General features: G+C 49.0%; 2 protein-coding genes across 35 annotated transcripts in view, besides 2 other annotated features; one reads left to right on the plus strand and one right to left on the minus strand.

Moving 5' to 3' along the window:
• HABP4 (hyaluronan binding protein 4) overlaps window positions 1–2,587 on the plus strand; it is a 41,235-nt gene extending 38,648 nt beyond the window's left edge. For all 4 annotated transcript variants that reach the window (XM_047423008.1, XM_047423007.1, NM_014282.4 and 1 more), the window contains exon 8: window positions 1,233–2,587. In XM_047423008.1, coding sequence (XP_047278964.1) covers window positions 1,233–1,289 — 57 coding nt within the window. In that variant the 3' untranslated portion in view covers window positions 1,290–2,587. The remainder of the gene's footprint in view (window positions 1–1,232) is intronic.
• The window catches only part of CDC14B (cell division cycle 14B), a 128,905-nt gene continuing 109,798 nt past the window's right edge, over window positions 2,190–21,296 (minus strand). For 9 of the 31 annotated variants that reach the window (XM_017015242.3, XM_047424001.1, XM_011519156.4 and 6 more), the window contains 3 exons: window positions 20,924–21,040; window positions 15,349–15,414; window positions 11,359–15,040 (listed from right to left, as the gene is read on the minus strand). In XM_017015242.3, the coding sequence (XP_016870731.1) occupies window positions 15,004–15,040; window positions 15,349–15,414; window positions 20,924–21,040 (220 nt within the window). In that variant the 3' untranslated portion in view covers window positions 11,359–15,003. Of the gene's footprint in view, window positions 4,504–6,831; window positions 7,611–8,447; window positions 8,512–11,358; window positions 15,041–15,348; window positions 15,415–20,923; window positions 21,041–21,296 lie in introns of those variants that run through there. The other 22 variants (XM_017015248.3, XM_047424004.1, XM_017015247.3 and 19 more) reach the window with 13 other exon arrangements.
• Window positions 5,358–6,148: an enhancer, noted in NCBI's record as "H3K4me1 hESC enhancer chr9:99256389-99257179 (GRCh37/hg19 assembly coordinates)". NCBI's record gives its function as "activates a minimal SCP1, AML or CMV promoter by ChIP-STARR-seq in primed H9 embryonic stem cells {active_cell/tissue: H9 hESC(primed)}" and the evidence as "EXISTENCE:reporter gene assay evidence [ECO:0000049][PMID:30033119]".
• Window positions 6,761–7,261: an enhancer, noted in NCBI's record as "H3K4me1 hESC enhancer chr9:99257792-99258292 (GRCh37/hg19 assembly coordinates)". NCBI's record gives its function as "activates a minimal SCP1, AML or CMV promoter by ChIP-STARR-seq in primed H9 embryonic stem cells {active_cell/tissue: H9 hESC(primed)}" and the evidence as "EXISTENCE:reporter gene assay evidence [ECO:0000049][PMID:30033119]".

The raw sequence follows: 21,296 nt of genomic DNA on the forward strand, positions 1-21,296 counted from the left end.
GCACGCTCCTTACCCCTGGCCTCTGCCTGCTGGCCTCCATTCATCCTTCCAGCCTCACTTCCTCACAGGTTTCTTTGATCACATCTCCTAGACCGATCAAGGTCTCGGAGCAAAGGAGTTTCTTTTCATTGAAGCCTGATCTCCGTGTGCGGCTGTATTCTCACTGGTGTGGCTATCGGTCAGCGGCTGCTTTTGCTCATTACCGGTTTACGCAGTGCCACGCAGTGCCTGGCATGTAGTAGGTGCTTCCTAATGTGGTATGGACACTTATTCATTGGAAATCAGCCCCGAGGCCCCATGGCACAGACCCCTTCTCTGTGGCTGGTCTTGGCAATGCTCCTCCTGCTGCCCGGTTCCCTCGCTCTAGGGAGCAGCCCCTGGAAGCAGTGTCTATGGTTTGTTTTTGCTTAAGCAGGAGCAAAAACACAATTTTTTGGGCGGGGGGTGTAGGGGTATATTTGGGGCCAGGTTGGAAATAGGGTCTATTCTGCGATAGGAAACACACCCTCACTCCTTTCCTATAGCGGAGCTCTGTCCCCTGCAGCACTCCAGGGAGTGTGTTGGGAAACCACTCTGAGATCCAGTGCCACCCACCTCTTCACTGGCATCTGTCCCCACCTCCACAACCTGTGCATCCCTCCACCTCAGAACCGCCCTTAGGGCCCGCCCCCGCCCCCATCAGGTCACACTGTTTCCCAATCCAAGTCCTTGTTCCCTTTGCTCATCCATTGAGGTTCATCCCAGGGAGAACCTTCTCTTCCCACAAAACCTTGCCTGACCTTGGTGTCCACTGTGCCACCAAATTGCACTGGATGGCCCTCCTGTGGCCCCTCCTTCCCAGGACGTGTTAGTGAAGCTCCTGATTCGATGGTCAGTTTCTCCAGCACCGTGAGCTCCCCGAGGATAGGCACTGTCTGTGCTCCTCCAGTGCCCGGCACGCAGTAACCATTCTATTTACTCGATGAAGGACGTGCCCATGCAGAACCCCCAGTAAGAGCTTGCAGGACGTAGGAAGGGAGGCAGCTCCTTTTTCGAGGAGGCTGGAGGCCTGTGTGGGAGGGGGAGCTGTACTTTCCTGGGTTAGCAGTGACCTGTGACTCTCCCCTTCCCACTGTGGGTCCTGCCTCTAATGCAGGCCCCTCAGCGTTGGTGCCAGGCCCTTGTTATCCCACTGGGATATCGGGAATGGATGAAGGGGCAGTGGATTTCAAAGTATTTCTTTTTTTCTTTAGATGCAAGATGTTGCCCCCAACCCAGATGACCCGGAAGATTTCCCTGCGCTGTCTTGAAAGAGCCCTGTTTCCCAGCACCGCGGAGCTGCACTGCACACCTGTGGGGAGACTTTTCCAGCTGGGCCAAGGGAGTCAGACTCTAAGAACAATAGATGTTGCTTTTCCCGTGTCATGTAAATTTGTTGCACTTTTTTGGGCTGAGCTGTTAGAGGGGCTTCTCCAGAGGCTCGAGAGCAGGCCATTTCCCAAGAAGATGAAGAATGGTGACTGTGTTTTTATTGAAGGAATTTCAAATGAAGAATAATGTTTAAAATGTGTATATAGAGATAGTATAGACTCCTCCGCGGAAGCATGGAGGGAAAGGAGGTTGTAAAATAGACTCCATGGAGACTCTTAGGAAGCAGTAGATTCCCGGGGGCTGTGCCTTTAGCGTTAGAGGAAACACATAGAGCTGGAACTGTTAATGGAAAGCAGTCACAGCTGAGTTTTCGGAGACCAAGAAATTAAAATACAATTGCACTTACTGTTTACTTGTAAATGTTATCTTCTCTCCTGGAATATTTTGAGTTCTGGTTTTCACTTAACCAATCATTTAAAAATCGCTATTGTGTAGCCACTGGCCACCACTCTGTGACACAGAATCAGAGAAAGCGTTGATTTTTAATGGTGATTTAAACTACCTCGTGGTTTCTGTGTGTGTGCACACACACATCTAGTGTTTGGGTGGTTTTTAGGAAGAATATTAAGTATGTGACTTCAAAAACCATGTTATTTAACCTGCCAATCAAATGGAAAGGGATCATGGCAAAAGCAAATACCGCATCCTTTTCTTCCGCAGAACTAGAGTCAGAGTTCGGCAGCTGCGTACAAAGGCCTCTGCCCTCGGCTTGAGCAAAAGTTGTAAATAACTAGTATTTATTAAGCACTTATAAGCAGTTTTTCTCACTTAGTCCTGGCTCCAGTTCTAGAGTTCCTCTTTATTGCTTTTGGTGAAAGTTTGGGGTTGGGGGTACACCTCAGAGGTTCAGTAATTCACCTGGAGTCCCACCCTGAACAGAGCTGGACCCAGAGCCACACACGCCCGGGAACACACACTGTGCTGGGGAGGAAGTGGGCCTAGGAGGGCCTGCAGGTCCAGGCAGCTGTAGAGCTGCTAGAAGCTGGGGTGTTGCTCTCCCCGCTTTCTCATAGACACAGAGGTACTGTCTGCCTGTTGTCACACAGTTCATATGCTCGCTTGAGATGGAATCTGAACCTTGGTCCCAGGATCTGTGCTTTTTCCCACTTTGCCACACTGTCTAAGGTGGCTTTGAACTGGAACCCAAGTGCAAATAAAGGTTGGTATTCGCTCCTGACTTTGTGTAGAGAAAACAGTCCTTTGGTTACTCCAGGCCACAGCAGTCGGTCATGATTTTGTTGAATAATCAAAGTTGAATCCATACACGTTAGGGTCAGTTAAGGATGTTTGCTTTGGGTGATAGCCTACTTTTGGTCTCTTATTTATTATCTGAGTACTAAGGTTTATCAACTGAGTGTTTTCTTCCCTTTCCTGGAAAAGGCAATGGATGCAAGTGCCCTGATTTCTGAAATCTGAACCTAGCCGGTACAACATCAGGGCTGTGTCATGAGTCAGTGGCTTTGAAGCTGTCACACTGTCATTTTGCCTAACTGCGGCTTTGAAGATTAGCCAGAGAGCCCTTTGAAGAAACTTTCCTTTAGTGTTGTGAATAATACTTGAAAAGCCCACAGCACTTGGTTTAATGTTGCAGTTGCAAAAACACTGACAGTTCCTATCCCATAGAGCTGTTGAGTCATGTGGTTGAAGACAGTTTTGGGGAACCCGGTGCACGTTCTGAACCTGTAATGGGCTATGTTTGCTTACCAGGGCTAGCTCTCGCTGACTTGGTCGTGTGCCTGGATGTAGGCATTTTGTTTGCACCCTTTCTGGATCGTGCCAGGTTGTACATAGCCCCAAGTGCCCCAGAGAAGCCAGGGAGGACAGAAGCGAAGGGCAGGGGGGTGTCACCAGCATGCCGTTGGGACAGTCAGATGCGGAGGCGGCAGGACCTTTTGGACCACAGTGCCCCGGCCGGACTCCTCAGGTGCTTGTGACGTGGGTGTGGACATGTCCTGAGGCAGGGCACCCTGGGCACCACGTTTCTGGCTGGCGACTTAGACTCAAGCAGATTAACCCCATGAAAGACGCCGATGAGGGCTGTCGTCCCCAAGTCTCCTGAAAAGTGGAGGTCAAGCAAGTTTGAGCTGGTTATAGCCAAGCCCAGGCTGGACTGGATCATGTCTGAATCAGGAGTTGACTGCTAGGCCTCAGGGGTGTCTGAGTTGTGCCACCAGGGCGGCTCCTGAAGACTCAGCTCAGGGTGAGGTCCTGGGGCTGCTGCGCACAGCCTGTCACCAGGTGGGGAAAGCTGCCCTGCAGTAACTGGGCTGGGGGGCCAGATCCTCTAGAGATAGGGGTGCTTGGCTGGGTGCGGTGGCTGACACCTGTAATCCCAGCACTTTGGGAGGCCAAGGCAGGCAGATCACTTGAGGTCAGGAGTTCGAGACCAGCCTGGCCAACATGGTGAAACCCTGTCTCTACTAAAAATACAGAAATTAGCCGGGCGTGGTGGCAGACGCCTATAATCCCAGCTACTCAGGAGGCTGAGGCAGGAGAGTCGCTTGAACCTGGGAGAAGGAGGTTGCAGTGAGCCTAGATCGCGCCACTGCACTCCAGCCTGGACAACAAGAGCAAGACTCTGTCTTTGGAAGAAAAAAAAATTTTTTTAAAAAGGGAGGTGCTGCCCAAGAGGGAGGGGTCAGTACCTAACTTGGGATGAAAGCCTAAGCTGCATGTCAGACCAGCCTGGGAAGAGGCAGGCTGGACACACTGCTGCCGGCTGGGAATGCCTCCGAAGTCAGAGTTGGATGCTTTGAACAAGACCCCTCTAGCCTAATGTTGCTCATGAGCCTTTGGCGTTTTCATTCCACGCAAGGTGGGCCCCTCTGAGCCAGCCAGCCTCCTTCCTTGTGCTGGTCAGACTTCAGACCATTTCCTTCTGTTGATCAGCAAGTCCATGCCATTCCAGCACATGGGAGCTTCACGGGAAGGAGACTGCTGTCCTCTGAAACTGTACTGTGCGGTGCTGGCAGGTGCTTCGGAGCAGCTGAGCCTGCGTCTCCGAAGCTGGGAAAGGCAGAACAGGAGCTGCCCGTGCCTGCCCTGTTCTCAGCAGCAGTGGGCCTGCCTGCTCTCTCCACATGGCGGCCTCCGCTGTAGACACAGAAGACAGATTTGCTCATTTTCTTTGGCTGCTGCTGTCTCCTCTCAGCCTTCTGCAAGGACCGTGGCCCATGTGAACAGCCTTCCCTGAACCCTCCCGACACTCATGCCTGCTTCAGACAACCTGGGGTGGGCTGCGGGCGTGAGAGGCTTTGGCCTGGCTGTGTCCCACAGGGGGCCTGTGTTGTGGATGGAGGATGAGGTGTGGAAAAGGGAATGAGGAAGAAAAAATGCAGGGATATTTTAAAGCCTTTTTATTATCAAATAAGATACAGATAAAAGTGCAAAACTAGACTGGGCATGGTGGCCCACACCTGTAATACTTTGGGAGGCTGAGGTGGGAGGATTGCTTGAGGCCAGGAGCTCAAGACCAGCCTGAGCAACACAGTAAGACCATGTCTCTACAATAAATTTTAAAATTAGGTGGGTGGCACACACCTGTAGTCATAGCTACTTGGTAGGCTGAGGCAGGAGGATGGCTTGAGCCCAGGAGTTTGAGGTTACAGTGAACTATGATCATGCCACTGCACTCCAGCCTGGGTGACAGAGAAAAACTTCATCTCTTAAAAAAAGTGCAGAACTGCCTTGTAACCACGTTTTCCTCCAAAGCCTGGCCACGTGGACCATGCTGATCACCACCTCATCCCCGCGCTCCCAGGACTCGCGCTGCCTCCAGGCGCTCCCCTCCACGCCAGTGCTGCCTTTTCAAAGAAGTCTTTCAGACTTTAAGTCCGAAGGATGCCCCTCCTCCTACCCGCTTTCCCCCTGCACCTATGGCAAAGCCTGGTTACTGAAGGAGCAGAGCGTTTGCTTGAGAGCCTGGGAGCCCTGTCTTGTCGTGCCTTGTCATTTTACAGTCAGGCAAGGACGCTGTCTTTCTTGCTACCTGGCTACTATTAGGGAAGGTAGAAACTGAAACCAGATTCAGTCCCTGAGCCCCACATCCTTTCTACACACTCCTGAAATTTCCAGTGAAAGGACTAGTCCCTTGGGCAAAGCTGTTAGGAGAGGGGACAGGAAAAGGGATGCCTGTACCTCAGGCAGGGGATGAAAGGAGACATGGAGTGTTTGCCTCTGTGCTCAGCCACTCTGAGCCATGTGGCGATGGCCATGGTGCCTAGCAGGGTACTGCACACTGCAGCAGTGCAGAGGGCCCACGCTCAGGTATTCTCCATGTAAACCGGATGGGACTAAAACTTGGCTCCCTAGGCCTAAAGGCCTAGCGGCTCCTGCCTGCTTTGCCCAGCCCAGCTTTTCTGCACATCTCCTGTTGCTCCTGGAAAGCTCTCTGCCTGGCCACAAAGTTTCCTTGGACTCTAGATGACAGGAATTTCCCAAACCAGATTGCAAAGGCTCTCACACCCCCCACAGCTACGCCTTGGGCCAATCAGTCCTCTGTGGGGAAAATCAGGGAACCACTGCCATCTGAGCACTCTTTTCTTTCTTTCTTTCTTCCTTTCCTTTCCTTTCTTTCCCTTCCTTTTCTTCCTCCCCTCCCCTCCCGTCCCCTCCCCCCTCCCGTCCCCTCCCGTCCTGTCCAGTCTCGTCCCGTCCCATCCCGTCTCCCCTCCCCTCCCCTCCCCTTTCTTTTTTGTCGGAGTCTCGCTCTGTCGCCCAGGCTGCAGTGCAGTGGCGCGATCTCGGCTCACTGCAAGCTCTGTCTCCCGGGTTCATGCCATTCTCCTGCCTCAGCCTCCCAAGTAGCTGGGACTACAGGTACCTGCCACCACGCCCGGCTAATTTTTTGTATTTTTAGTAGAGACGGGGTTTCACCGTGTTAGCCAGGATGGGCTCGATCTCCTGACCTCATGATCCACCTGCCTCAGCCTCCCAAAGTGCTGGGATTACAGGCGTGAGCCACCGCGCCTGGCCTGAACACTTTCTTTACAAAACTGTGCCCAATCCCAGAGGGCTGAATTACATAACTTTGGGAGCTCAAAGCCATTTGTAAGGTAAGGAGTGCCTGCCATGTGGCATCAACTTGTACATAAACCCACAGGAGGCTTCTGAGAGTCTCAAATGTTCTCAGACACTGAGGCAGGGTAAGACATTTCTCAAGAACCACCACCCTGCAAAGGGACTGAGGGCGCCTTCAGCAAGGCTGCCCTTTCTGGGCACCCATGTGTGCTGCCCCCCCCCGCCCCCCGCCCCTGCCCAGGAACTTGGCTCACATTGACTTCAGTGTGCCTGGCACTCCCTGGAGTTGTGCGATGAACAACCTGCACAACTGTACTGGCGGCCCACATGGATACTGGCCACGGGTCTTGCGTCAGAGCAACAGTGAGGAAAACGTTTCAAGTATCTGAGACAAGTTCTAAGCAAACTGACCACAACTTGCATGTTTTGCTGGTGAGAGGATAGAGCTGGAGCCAGCGGTGATGCTGGGGAAGTTTTCAGGAAGAGGGAAGGTGGATAGAAAGACAGCAGGAGAAATGGGAACGCCGTGTGGCCTATGAGGGACATGCTTGGGGAACTGGGTTGCTGTGACCAAGGTAGAAAGATGCCCTGGGAATTTTTACTGAGGCTCCCCGGCAGGCCCAGGCAGGGTGAGGCTGCGTGGGTGTTGCTGATTGATGAATAGACCCTGCCATCACTGCATATCTCCGGGGGTGCCTTCCACACGGCATCTGTACAAACAGCACACCTGGGGTGTGTGGCCACAGCCAGCAAGTCACTAAGTTGACCCATCGATGCAGCCTTCAAAAATTTGGTGCGAACTTTTCTGGGGAGATGGAGGGGCCTCAGCTTCCATCAGATCATCGCACAGGGGCTCCTAGCCTAAGAAAGTGTCAGCAGCACTGCCCTGCTGCGCCTGGAATGGGCCTCCTACCATCCCAGGGTGGGTGTCAGCCCGGCCATTCCCAACCCAGTCAGGCCGAGGCCCACCTAAAGGAAGGCCCTGGGCTGATGGCTCAATACCCAGTGGAAGAATGAGGCAGACGCACCTGCTGAGAGGCTTCAATTGCACCTGGAGAGAACTTGCAGTGGGCAACGGGCGTGTCCAGGAGAGACCTTCCCCGCAGGTCTAGTCCTTGTGGATCCCGAGCCAGATCAGAAGCCGGTCTAGAAAGGTGACAGCCTGGGACAGCCAACCATCGCTGGAAAAGGGAGGAGATGGACAGCGCTGTACTTACCACCACCACCACCACCACAGGGCCTGTCTCAGGGCTTGAGTTTGTGTGGACGGCAAGGACTAGCTTCCTGGGCCGCTAACTCTCAACCGCAAGGCAAACTTGGGTTGGGGCCCAGAACGGCCGTCAGCCGTTACCCTCCAGCCTGGCCAGTGAGTGCTGAGTGGACACTCCGCGGCTACTTAAGGACACGCCAACCGCGGTCCTGCCGGGGCGCTCCGTGCGTCTCCCTCCGGCTGGGTCCCGGCTGACCCCGCAATCCAGGCGCAGGCAAGGGAGACCCCGCTGGCTCCACCGCCCAGGCCACCCTGAAGTCCCCGCTGGAGGAGGTGCAGCGGACCCGCTCCCGGGGAGCCCGTCCCGCGCCCTCCCTCCGAGAAGCCCCTTCCTCCAGCTCCTTCCTCTGCCCGCCGGCCCGAGAGCACCGAGGCGGCTTCTCTGTCCTGTGTACTGCCCAGGACAAGCGGCATTGGAAGCGAGTGAGCCGTTCCCAGCTGGGGGCAGCAACAGCCCGGGGCCAGGGAAACGCATGGGGGCCTGGACCGTCCGGTGGCACCGAGTAGGCGGGTGCCAGGACGCCAGACACGCTGCATTCCCCGGAGTCCCACGCCAGGGAGAACGGCCCCGCCTGAAAAGACGTCGTTTAACACAGAGAAACACACCCAGGGCCAGGAGAAACCATTGTCCTCCCCGAGTCCCACAACGCACAAAGCACACGGTGGCCCTCCCACGCGGAGTCGTCTACCCCTTTAGAAACAGACTTGGCCCATTAGAGCCTCCGCGGCCAGGCCGGGGCCTCCTTACCTGGGGATTTAGGTGTGGACCCAGCACGCGTCGTCCAGAAGCGTGTCAAAGCCATGCAGACTTGCTGCCAAAGAGTCAGGCGGGGTTAGAGGCGGGGAGGCAGGGGCGGGGAGGCAGAGGCGGGAGGCCCCCCACTCCCACACAGGCCAGGGACCCCCGAGGCGCTGGGGAGGAATCCGGAAGGCTTTGCTCAGGGGGATCCATTTCTCCCCCAATAAACGGATAGACACAGGGAGGCTAGGACGTAAGGGCAGGCTGCGCCAACCGCTTGGAAGACAAAATGCCCAAAATCAATGTGGAAAAGCTAAAGCTAGGACGACATAATACAGCAGGACAGTGAGCGTGACCCCCTACCCACGGCGCTGAGGCCAGCGTCCTGCTATTAACTGAGCAGCTCACCAGCGTCACAACAGCTGCTAACGGGAGAGGAGCGGGCAGCGGCGACTGTGCATTTTTACACTTCTCCTGGACAGCATTAATTTTATTTTTTTTACTAGGCAAAATATATATGGCTCTTAGCGTGTGCCAGACACTTGTTCTCAGCTATGAAAAATATTAACTTTTCATTTCATCCTCACACAACCCTCTAAGATGGATACTGCCATCCCCATTTCAGAGAAGAAACGGGTTTAGGGAGCCTAAGTCACTTAGCCCAAATCTAAGCTAAGTGGCAGCACTTAGGTTTGCAAACAGCCTGGGCCCAGAATGCATGTTCTCAACAATTGTACCAAGCTGCTTTTTCACACAGTGTACAGCAAAAGCTTTAACGTCTTACAAATTTTTGACCCAGAAACCCCTTTTGTAAGAATTTATCCTAAGGAAATAGCCAGCACCGCCCAGGAAGAATTTCTGCAGAACACGGATGCAGTGCTCTGACAGTAAGACGTCAACCGGGAGAGTGTGGCAGCTAGTCAGGGCGTGCTACAGAGGAGCTAAAGCTCGTGTTCTTGGAGAATTCCTCCCTAGATGCTCCTTTCCAATGCACCCATAGCTGCACTTAGACACACAGAGGAGGGGGAGACGGCAAAGTTGATGTCACAGTCCCCCAGCTAAGGCACAGCCACGTACTTCTGTTAAACCAAACGCTAGGTGCTCACTAGTCCAATTGTACCACTGAACTAAGTGAGGCTCGGCCAGCAGATCAAGGGTCCCCAAGGCCACAGAAGTGGCGGAGCTGGGGCAGATACGCCCAGTGGGACTTGCACTTTCCACGGCAACTTGTATTTCAGTCCACTGAGGGGCCGCGGGAAGGGTCCCTTGCAGCTCCTCTCCCATGGCCCAAGCTTGCCTCTGAACAACCACTCTCGAGACTTAGCTTCAGCGTGTGGGTCCCCACTTCAAGGCAAAATAGTTTACGTGACCTCTTTTTAAATGTTTACACCATTACCTGTGCATAAAATTATGCTGCAGGTACCAAAAATATCAGAAACTGAGGGACTGTAATCTGCTATCAGTCATTCTTTCCCCAATTATCTAGAGAAAATGACCTAAAATATATGACAAAGTAGCGAATTGAAAGATATGCCCCGATACTGTTTTAAGCACTTTCCACGTGTTATTTTAACTCTCATACCAACTGCTAAGGTAGGGATTCTTTTCATTTCCATTTCACTTAAGCAATGGAAGCAGAGGGGATGAGCAAATCCCGCACAAGGTGGATGGGCCCTGGGCCGAGTGGCTCTAGATGACAGGGAAGGAGACAAGTCTCTAAGGACCAGGGGTCCCTGCAGCCTGCTGCCTCCCAGCCACAGGCCTAGAAGGCCCAGCCCCCCAGGAGGAACAGACATGCCTCGTGGTTTCATCTCAAACAATGCCTCCAAGCCGGCCCCTTTGCAGCACTCAGGGACTTCACGGAGCTGCGTGGTGGCGCCAGCTGCCTGAGCTCTAGTGGGTCAGGGGAGAGCTCTAGTGGCCTCAGGGGAAGCCATGGAGGGGCAGGGAGAGGCCACAGCTCCCACAGAGCCAGGGTCTGCAAATGAACACTCTGGGGGGTCATGTGTGGTGTGGAGTCGGGAGAGGGGCGAGAAGGCAGGTCTCTGGTTTTTACTTTGGACACTTGTAACCCAGTGTGAATCCAAGCACAGCTCCTTGGGGGAACTGGGTAGAACTCGACAGAACACAGGGTCTTGAGTCTCAGCAGTAAGCTGTGTGTGAGGTGTGGACACTGAGCCCTTGGGGTCCTGCCCGGCACCAGAGGCAAGGCAGGTAGAAAGCAGGGGTCTGGCGTCCGGGGTTGGACCACAAGCTGGGGAGGGTGCTGGGGCCGGTGCCGCCCGACCTTGGCAGGCAAAATGCCCTGCAGGATCCCAAGAGCCTGACTGACTTAAGTCTTATCTTTAGAGGTCTGCAGAAAGTCAAAACTTTGTGTTGTGTGAGCTGGTGCTGGGGTGTGAGGAATGGCCTGGCAGCAGGAGCCCCCTGTCACTCACCACCTTACCCTACAGAAGGGGGCTGGACTAACTTCCAGATTCAAACACTAAAGCCCTAACCCCAGCCCCTTCAGATGTGGCTCTATGTGGACATGGGGACTTTAACGACGTGGTGAAGTTAAAATGAGGCCATCGGGGTAAGCCCCAATCCAATCTGACTGGTGTCCTCTTGAGAGGGGAGTAGAGGGGAAGAGAGGCACCAGGGCCACGCAGGCACCAAAGAGAGGCCCTGCGAGGAGGCAGCGCCTCCAAGCCCAGGAGAGAGGCCTTGGGAGAAACCAAGCCCGCCCACAGCTTGGTCGTGGACTTGCAGCCTCCAGAACTGTGAGGAAATGAACTTCTGTGTCAGCCACCCAGTCTGGGGTATTCCATTATGGCCGTCCTAGAAAACTTACACAGATTCCGGGTTACCTCTGCTTTATGATCTAACCCACTGCCTACCAGAATTCAAAATGCTTGGTAAGTAACACAATAAACAAAAAGGCTGTTGGGTTAATACTTTTAATTACATGATTGTAATTATACAATTTCCACTATTCGATATTTTGTATAAAACCAGTTACAACCCACAAGATTTTCAAATGTGACAATATGTATCAAACTACATACATATGCAAAGTTTACACGCCATTAGGAAGCTTTATCTTAAAAATACCTTCAGGAAAATAAACATTCATTCAACCAGTTCTCTTGGCTTTAAAAAATATGATTAGAAATATACGCTGTAAAAAAAAATCAAGACAATGATTGATCAATACTGATCAGTTACATTTTAAAACTTTTAATAATCTGTACATGAGTGCAGGTTAGATAAAAGTCTGCAAATTATTAATAGAAAACTGCAGTACTATCATCGGATGAACATGTCTGCTGACAATTCTACCAGGTAATTAAGGAGGTAATTTCCTACACAGTATAGGTGAATTGTCCAGTCTTTAAACACATCTGGAGTCATCTCCACTGAGTGACATGGAGAATAACCTGATGTGGGTAAATGGAAGAGCAGCAGATAGCCTCTCCAGGGCAGTTTCAGCGGGAGAGAACATTTAAAGGAACAATAAAATAGGTTTTAAAAGTTGCTTTTGATGAGCACTGCTTTCCAAAATGCAATAATGATTTTTTTTAATGTAGAAAGAGAAGCTGTGTTAAGAACAGACATCCAATGAGTGCACTGCTTCTGTGGCTCCAAAGGTGACTGGGAAAAGAGAAGGCCCCAGGAGAGCCCTCAGGCCACACACAAGCCCAGGCCATCCCGCCCAGCCCAGCGAGCACACTGGCCTCATAACAATGCTTGGGAACTCCTCTAAAACTTGCCTAGGCCCAAGAAAACAGAGAGGTAGCAATCACCCCTGTGAGAGGGCTAGAGAGGAGGGGAGGAAGTAGGTAGGGGACAGGCTAGGGGCATCAAGCTCAGAACAGGGGAATTCTGGAGGCCGCAGAGCTGCGTGCTGCCGGGAAGCACTGGCCACGCCAGGCCATTCTGCTCTCACGAGGCGCTGCTCCTCACCAAATTCTACAAAAAGCTAAGTCCGTCTATACTTCTAGGAACCCAGTTTTGCAGACGCTCTTCCTCCGGACTGTCCCTGACTTTTGATAATTTTGAGTCCCCAGAAAGCTTCAAGAGCACCTAAAAATATTCACTTCCAATTTTAATTCCATCGCAAACCGTCCCAGTGTACTTTCAGGGCTATTTAAGGCTCTTAGGTTAAGGGGATCTCTCCATCTGACACACAGTTTCATGTTCCATAGCAACAAGGTCTTCTATAACAACGACTCTAAGTCAGAATTCCAGAAGATTCTGGTTGTTTGTGGTTTCAGTTGGGGGTGAGGGGAAGAGTCCACTCTCATTCATAGCAGGAAGAACTTTCCATCCCTCAGACCCAGAGACTTCCTGGATGCTAGAGACAGTCCTCATAAGTGTAACACTGCCCTTGCTATGCACACCATCCCAAGTCATTTGGTTATTACAAGGAATGCCTCTTCACCAAATCACAAGTTTTCTATGACTAATTTCAGTGAACCAGTTAAATAGAAAGATTTTTAGAAAGAGCCACAGTGATAGCAATTCTAGGTGGAAACTTGAGCAGGCAACATGAAGAGGCAGTTTATAAAATGAAAAAGGGCTGTGGTTCCAGTGACACCCTTTCTTTTCTTGGACGAAACACCAGGAGGCTCATTCACCGTGAGGGAGACAGTACTCACAAGAGCTGTGGCGCCTACGTTTACTTGTTCTGATGGGATGAAAAGCCAAACTAAGAAGGGATCAGATAGAAGCACGATTTTCACAACTACCTGGATTATTATTAATGGAGGGGATGGCCTTAAAAGGGGTAAGGGGAAGAAGAGGTGCCCTGAGAATTCAATGCTTTATGCATGGCACAGTTTGAATATTTATATTGTCTCAGCTCAAAATAGCAAAAGGAATGTTCCTCCTCCCACCCAAATCTTATTGAAGAGTAGTCTGCCCACAGCCAAGTGGGTCTTTGTGCCTATTCATTTCCAGGGACAGAAAACCACTGTTTTTCTGTGATCCAGTCCCCAGTGTTTAAAAGCTGGCCTGACCCCACCCGACAGTGCCTGGCGGGGAAAGAGTTGCTTGTTTGGCTGAGAACACGGCATCTTCCGTCTCTCATGATGCCGGTCAATTTTATACTTTCTTCCAAGAAAGTACACCAAAATGGAGGCACTGCCTTTCAATTACTTTTTGCATTAAAGACTTTTAACTTGTTTATTCCAACCGCTTTTATTTCTTCCAGTTTTGTGAAAAAGGCAGCTTCTTAAAATGGAGTTGCCTACTAATCTGGCGCACGCCTTGTGGCTTAGGAGGGCATTTGTTTCCCACTGCCTGTCGACATCTCAGCCCTCCATGCTCCCGGCACAGGCAAAAATGGCTTAACAATCATTAAACCACCCACTTCTTATGGAAGGAACTGAGGTGAGTACTATATATTCTTTTATTTCGGGCCCCATTTTTTTTTTTTTTTTTAGCAGCACATCAATTCTGTTTCTGTAACTGCTTCATGGCACAGACTCTGCTGTGTTCCAGTAGGGCTGCGGGAGAAGGCACTCTGCAGAGTTACTAGTTGTGTTCCCTAACCAAAGGCAACAGTGAGATCCAGAAGCAGATCATTGTCACTGAGATCGCAGGCCACGTCAATGGCCTTAGGTGGATCTCATAAGGGAAAAAAAAAATCCAATGTTACAGGGAAGGACTCTAAAAAAGTGGTAACTTTTTTTTTTTGTAAGCCGACATTATTTGGGATTGCTGTTTCCAAGGGGAAAAACCAATAGTGTGTTTCTTCCATTCATGGAAGGAAATATGATTTTAATTTGTATGACTGGCAACCAAACAATGGGCAGCCTCCCAGTTCTTCAGTCCCTGAAGGACAGAAAAAGGAACGACTTGCAACATCTTCCAACTCTGAAGTCAGTTTCTCCTCCTGAGTCTTCTAAAGCTACCATTAATATTCTCTTGCAAGTTTTAGGTTACTAAGGTACCACCTGGTCTTACAACATGCAACAGTGTTTAAATGTGATTTTCACAGATTCTTGTTAATAAAGCACTCTTTGGTGGAAGACAAGCAGCTTGGGTACTTAACAGAGTTAACATTACAACAGTATTACAAATAGTCAAGTGAAGATGATTAAGCCAAATAGTATCAAATTACAGAAAGTACCATTTCAGTAATGCCTTTTGTATCTTTATAAATTTTGACACAGGGTCACAAGGTGAACAGAAAATAAATACATAAAAAACCTCCATCAGATCCTCAATTCTTCTGAAGGCCAGCAACTACAATGATTGCCATCACAGGGACACACATGCACCACAGACCAGCCAGCTCCCTGGGTACCAGAGGGCTTGGGTATTTACACCTGAGACTAAATTTACAACAGCATGTTTGTCATTCAGCTTGAGAGCTGGACCCTTCTCTGAGTCATTTGCTTGCACCCAAACTCAAAGTTCATTATTCAAACTCCAGTGGACATTTTCTCCATTGATCAACTTCTTAGGTGGAAAAAGCAACTAAGGCTTTTGCAATTTTGTTTTGTTTTCAAATTGTGCTAATTTCTGTTGCAGTTTTCAGTCCTAGAGTCTTCCTTCAGCTCTGGTCACAGGTTTTTACTTAACGCAAGACTGTTTTAGTCCTTGAAATGGAGAGACTACAGGGGGAAAAAAAAGGATTTTTACCAGAAAGTTTACACAGCGTCCACAGGCAGTTATCAAAGACAAGGAGGGCAACATAATAAAAATACTGACATGCTAAAAAGTATACGCTTGCTGTAAGTTTCTAATGACAAATACTTTGGAGAAGACAACACAATATCAACCACAAAGGAAAGACAAACAGGAGAAAGGCAGGGCAGAAAAAGGCTCAGTTCTGCAAAAAATAGAAATTTAAAAAAACCAATACGAGTAAATAAAAATCATAAAAGACGGACGGGCAGGGGCAGCAGGGCCAGGAAAGTACCATGACGCCGCCAGGGGCACGTGCTGCAAAGCACTCCTTGTCCTTCCTTTCCTCTGAGGGACCAGGCTGTGGGAGGAGCGGGCAGAATGAAAAGATAGAGAACTGTTACTGGGTTATTTCAAAAGCCAGAATTTGGTCACAGAAAAAGCTCTGGCACCTAAGCGGCTTCCAGCTCCACCGAGCACAGGAGGCACCCCACGGGCTACCTGCCTCCGCACTCCACGATTCTCATCCTGCCTCTCTTCTCTCCTTCCCCAGTTCACGACGCTACACTTTCAGGTCAGTAACAACTTTCAGAAAGCAAACAAAACCAAAATAAGAGTCAGAAAAACCACTTCCAATCTGGAGGGCTCCTCGCCCGATGCTGCTGCTGCTGCGCTCTTCAAGGAGAAGCGTTTGAATCGATCATTTCGTTTTCAGAGATCCCAACAGAGCACTGAGTCAAAGATCCAGACCAGCTAGTGAGACAAGTGGGAAAATATCTGGAATTTCAAAGGATCATTAATATTTTAAAACACTGGAGAGAAACAGTATTTTACAAAGAAACATTTGGAGACAACCTTCTGGGACTCCTCTCCTGATGGACTTTGGAGATAATGGCAGTAGCCAAAAATTAACACCCAGAGGCAACGGAACAGGTGCCCAGATCTGAGACTCTGAGGGTCAAGAGGCAGTGGCAGGTGTGACACCAGCAAAGCCACCCGAGAACACTGAAGAAGTTAGAGGTCCTAGATGCAGCTGCTCCCAACTGAAGGGCTCCTGAAAACACTCGTGGTTTTAGAAGCTAAGGAAAGAGGCCGGGCGCCGTGGCTCACACCTGTAATCCCAGCACTTTGAGAGGCCGAGGCAGGCAGATCACCTAAGGTTAGGAGTCAAGACCAGCCTGGCCAACATGGTGAAACCTCATCTCTACTAAAAATACAGAAGAAAATTTTTAGCCAGGCGTGGTGATGCACGCCTGTATTCCCAGCTATGCAGGAGGCTGAGGCAGGAGAATCACTTCAACCTGGGAGGTGGAGGTTGTAGTGAGCCAAGATCGCACCACAGCACTCCAGCCTGGGTAACAGAGTGAGACTCTGTCTCATTTAAAAAAAAAAAAAAAAGATGCTAAGGAAAGAACCTGAGCATTTCTCTCCCCAGCCCCCACAATATGAAGAATTAGGTACAAAGCACTCCAGAGCCCCGGACCTTAGGTTTGGTTTGGCAGCTGCAGCAGAAAGTGATGGTTCCTAGTGATACAACTCAGAATTAAAGTAACTTGTACATGCCAGTTTCTTAGAAAATGAATGAAGTTATCATTTTAAAAAAAGAAGAGCCTGCCCAAAAGAAACAGCATAAGCTAACAAACACGCACCAGCGGAAGGGCTGCGTGAAGACATGAGTGAATGCGAGCAAATGAGGTGGCTGCAGGCTCTCACTCGGGGCATGATGAAATTTCCAAGACTGTTCTAAGAGAGCTCTTCAGAGAGGTCATGTGAGAACACTGAAAACAGGCCGATTCAACGGAGCCAATTATTCACTGGATTTATTAATTCTTAAAAGAGAAAGGTTAGCATGGATTTATAGCTCTAACAGGAAGTGGGAGGTAGAGAAGCCCACTCACCTCCCTCTCCAGACTCAGGGAAGGGAATGAGAAGGTGCCACACAGAGCCCTGGCAGGACCGAGGGCCACACAGGCTGCCTGGCCGCCGTCCCAGACCTGTGGCCACATGAGATTTAGGTTTCGATGTGGCACAGCTTCAAATGGATACACGAGGGGATAGTCATCTTCTGTGAGAAACAGTGGCACCTTTTCCCAAAGACAAATAGTTAAGACATCACTCCTATTTTTTCAGCTGCCCCAAGTAATTGCTCTTTTGACGTTTTTGAAAAAGTTCCCCAAAGCTGAAGAGCCTCTCAGTAAAACCAAAAATCAAAAGCACCAATTAAGCGCAAAGCGAGTTTGGGTGGAGTCTTCATCCTGGATGCCAAGGAACATGAAAATGGAAGGTCAAGTTCCCATGTGCCGCAGAGATGATGACAAACCAGTAGGAACTGGTAAACCTGCTACGTTGCAGGTAGGGATGAAAGGACCCCAAAAGGGTGCTCTATTTTTTTTTCTACTGCTGTTTAAAGATTTCAACTCAATACTTTAAATTTACTCAACAATCTTAGCTCATACTATTTTGTCCAGAATCAGACCGTGCACCAATATACTAATTCCCTCTTGCCCTCCAAACAGAAATGAATACTATTTAGTATGATATTATGAATAATATTCAGTAGGATAAAAGCTCCAGGCTACAGCTTGGCTAACTCCAATTCTTAAAACCTATACATAATTTGCCTTTCTTTTGTAAGCTGTAGGTGGATAACAGGTAGGGTGATGTGAACACAGGACAAAGTCCCAAAAGAGGCACAAAGAAAGAACCCACTTAGAGGAAGGTGGGGAAATAAACTGTGAGTCCCAGTTAATCCTCACTGTTAGACTCCTTTTGCTCTCCACATCATCTCTGAAAGTCCATTTTGGAATTTAAAAGAAGTCTTTTTGGTTTTCAGAACTATCCCAAATTCCTGGAAGCTGCTTTGGGTCATTTCAACATTCAGTCCAGATTACTGACTCTGAAATCTACCTTAGGACCCTCAAAGCATCCCTGCCAGGGACCTGAGGCAGATGCTTGCTGCAACCAGGAACCACTTCTCCAGAGAGGCAGGAGTTCAGGTTACTAGAGTGACATGAAAACGCAACGAGACCTAGATAGAAAAACAGAGGCAAGGCCAGCCCTTCCTTCCTCACAGGAAGACGATATGACCTGGCAAGTGCCAGCCAGGCTCCCGGACTCTACTCTTCTGTAACCTAAAAAGCATAATCTAAAAAAGCAAACAGCAGAATTAAATGTGCAAGACACACTACGCTGTTAACAAAAGCCTGAGCGGCCGGGCGCCGTGGCTCACGCCTGTAATCCCAGCACTTTGGGGGGCTGAGGCAGGTGGACCACTTGAGGTCAGGAGTTCAAGATCAGCCTGGCCAAAATGGTGAAACCCCGTCTCTACTAAAAATACAAAAATTAGCCAGGTGTGGTGGCACATGCCACCCACAAGTAGTAATCCCAGCTACTTGGGAGGATGAGGCGGGAGGATGAGGCAGGAGAATGGTTTGAACCTGGAAGACGAAGTTTGCAGTGAGCCGAGAAAACACTACTGCTCTCCAGCCTGGGCAACTCCATGTCAAAGGAAAAAAAAAAAAAAAAAAGCCTGAGCACTCATACCTAAAAAGAATATGCCCCTTCAAGACATGTCAAAATTAACAATTAACTGTCATCAACGATAGGCTTTTTATTTGATTTTTTTTTTTTTGAGACAGAGTCTTGCTCTGTTGCCCAGGCTAGAGTGCAATGGCGCGATCTCAGCTCACTGCAACCTCCGCCTCCAAAGTTCAAGTGATTCTCCAGCCTCAGCCTCCCGAGTAGCTGGGATTACAGGCACCCGCCACTGCACCCAGCTAATTTTTGTATTTTTAGTAGAGACAGAGTTTCACCATCTTGGCCAGGCTGGTCTTGAACTCCTGACCTCATAATCTACCTGCCTCGGCCTCCCAAAGTCCTGGGATTACAGGCGTGAGCCACCGCGCCCAGCCTGAATTTTTAATAGCTTGGCTCACCAAAAAGTGTCAGTTAAAACACTCCCATTTCCCTTCATTTATTGTAGAAAAATTGGAAAATAAGACGATAAAAAAGAAAAAAATCCCAACTGTCCCACCAACCAGAACTTTTATTAGTATCATAGCATATTTTTCCTGTCTTATTTCTATGCATATATAGAAACTTACTCATCTATAAATACAGATGTATTGTAGGTATATAAATATTTATACATCTCTATATTTCTATACATATATAGTATACTTACGCTTACAAAATTAGAGTCATACTTCAGAATTTTTTTTTTTTCTTTTTTGAGACAGAGTCTCACTCTGTCGCCCAGGCTGGAGTACAGTGGTGTGATCATGACTCACTGAAACCTCCGCCTCCCATGTTTAAGCGATTCTCCTGCCTCAGCCTCCCGAGTAGCTGGGACCACAGGTGCCTGCCACCACACCTGGCTAATTTTTGTATTTTTAGTAGAGACGGGGTTTCACTATGTTGGCCAGGCTGGTCTCAAACTCCTGACCTCAAGTGGTCCACCTGCCTCCGCCTCCCAAAGTGCTGGGATTACAGGCGCGAGCCACCGCACCCGGCCCATACTTCAGAATTGTTATGCATGGCTCTTTTCACTTACTGCTTCGTGTACTAAACTAAATGTATGACTCCCAATTCATTTGGCATAATGTAACAATCTTGAGCCCATTTCCTGTTTCTCACTGTTATAAATAACACTCCGCTATTGTTCCAATGTACCGAAATCTTTGACCTTTGGTCAGTATTTCTCTAATATTCTTCTCAAGAAGAATCAAACAGTAAAGAAATAGGAATATTTGGTACATTTCTAATGAAAAATTTTAAATCCTGGAATCATGAGTCAGTGCCTGACAGTCCTCCAATCCTTATGCCGGGGCACTGCTGCATCCCCATGCGAGTGTTAAGTGTGCAGTAAGGTTGTACAAAACAGTGTAGAGGAGACATGGCAGAGCTGAATGAGTCTTCAAAAGGCAAAGCACACAGAACTCCCAGCTCTGCCAAGGTCTCTTGGGAGACTGGCTGCTTTGCACTGGGGACTAATTTCACACTGATAAGGCCCCTAGGCCCAAAGCCTCGGATATACATGGCAGGGAAGCTGAAAAGAAGCAGGGTACACGTGCAGGACATTTTAAAGTCTGGTTCTGATTATCTTCAGGTCGCTCATGTCTATTAGAAGAGATCGTTTTTACCAGGAGGACAGAAACAGGACTGCATGGGCTGCCAACACCAGGCAACGATGAAAAGGTGCCCCCTTCTACTCCTGAGCCATCTATCCCCACTTCCACTCCTGGGCTATTTATTCTCTCTTCAGATGGGATCTGTTTTCAGAATACTTTAAAAATGACATGTCCACTTCATGAGAAATATCCAAAGACAACAGAGTCACCGACGTGGCCACAGAACACATTGGTTTCCTTGTGAAATTCTGCCTACACTCACTGAAGACAGTGACGACAGTGAAAGAACTAGTGCCTCGGGTGTGGGCTGTGGCCAAGAGGACAAAGAGTCACTAGGTAGAGAAGGATCTTCAAACTCTCTGGTTATCTCATTTCTACCATCACATTCATTTGCAGCTAATCGTCCAGCAATGATGCTGTATCTGATATACACCTAGAAAAATGTCCTCCAAGTCCTGACAGCCAGCTTTGGAAATTCTTAACTTAAAACTTTCCCATATCATGACCCAGAGACCATACTTCCAGTGTTGAGAATTACTTCTAAAAAACAAAACAAAAGCCTACATTAAAATGGTCCAGATTTTCTTAGATAATGAACAAGGAATACACATTTGATGAATTTCCCATCACAGAGACTCTACTTTCTCCTAATTTCATGTCAGTCTCCAGAGGTAGGGTCCAAATATTAAACTGGAAAACAAACGCTTGCAACTTTTCAGAAGAGTAGGATTCTTTTCTCACCTTTTAACACTGCTTTTCCTTGAAGCAGATCTGGTGGTTCTTTTAGTAATGCCTGCACTGCCAGAAATGTTAGGTTCAGATGTTTTACAGCTCTGAACACTGGATTGAAGAATTACTCTGAAAATAGTTGGAAAAAAATAAGATTATATTCACTGAAACCATTTGCAAATACTTGACAGAGGAAAGTATTTTTGCACTTTAGTGCAAATTATCTTGAGAATTGAGAGGATTTTCCATCAACACATTTACCAAAAAAATCTGAAACACATTTTCACATCAAGGCCTTTTAAAATGAAGCATCTCGTTTCTCTTTGAAGGTTACACAAAGACAACCAGAGGGCTTTGCTCCTGGAAGGCGAATGACTTGGCATTT

This window comes from Homo sapiens, chromosome 9, assembly GCF_000001405.40.
Source record: "Homo sapiens chromosome 9, GRCh38.p14 Primary Assembly".
NCBI lineage: Eukaryota > Metazoa > Chordata > Mammalia > Primates > Hominidae > Homo > Homo sapiens.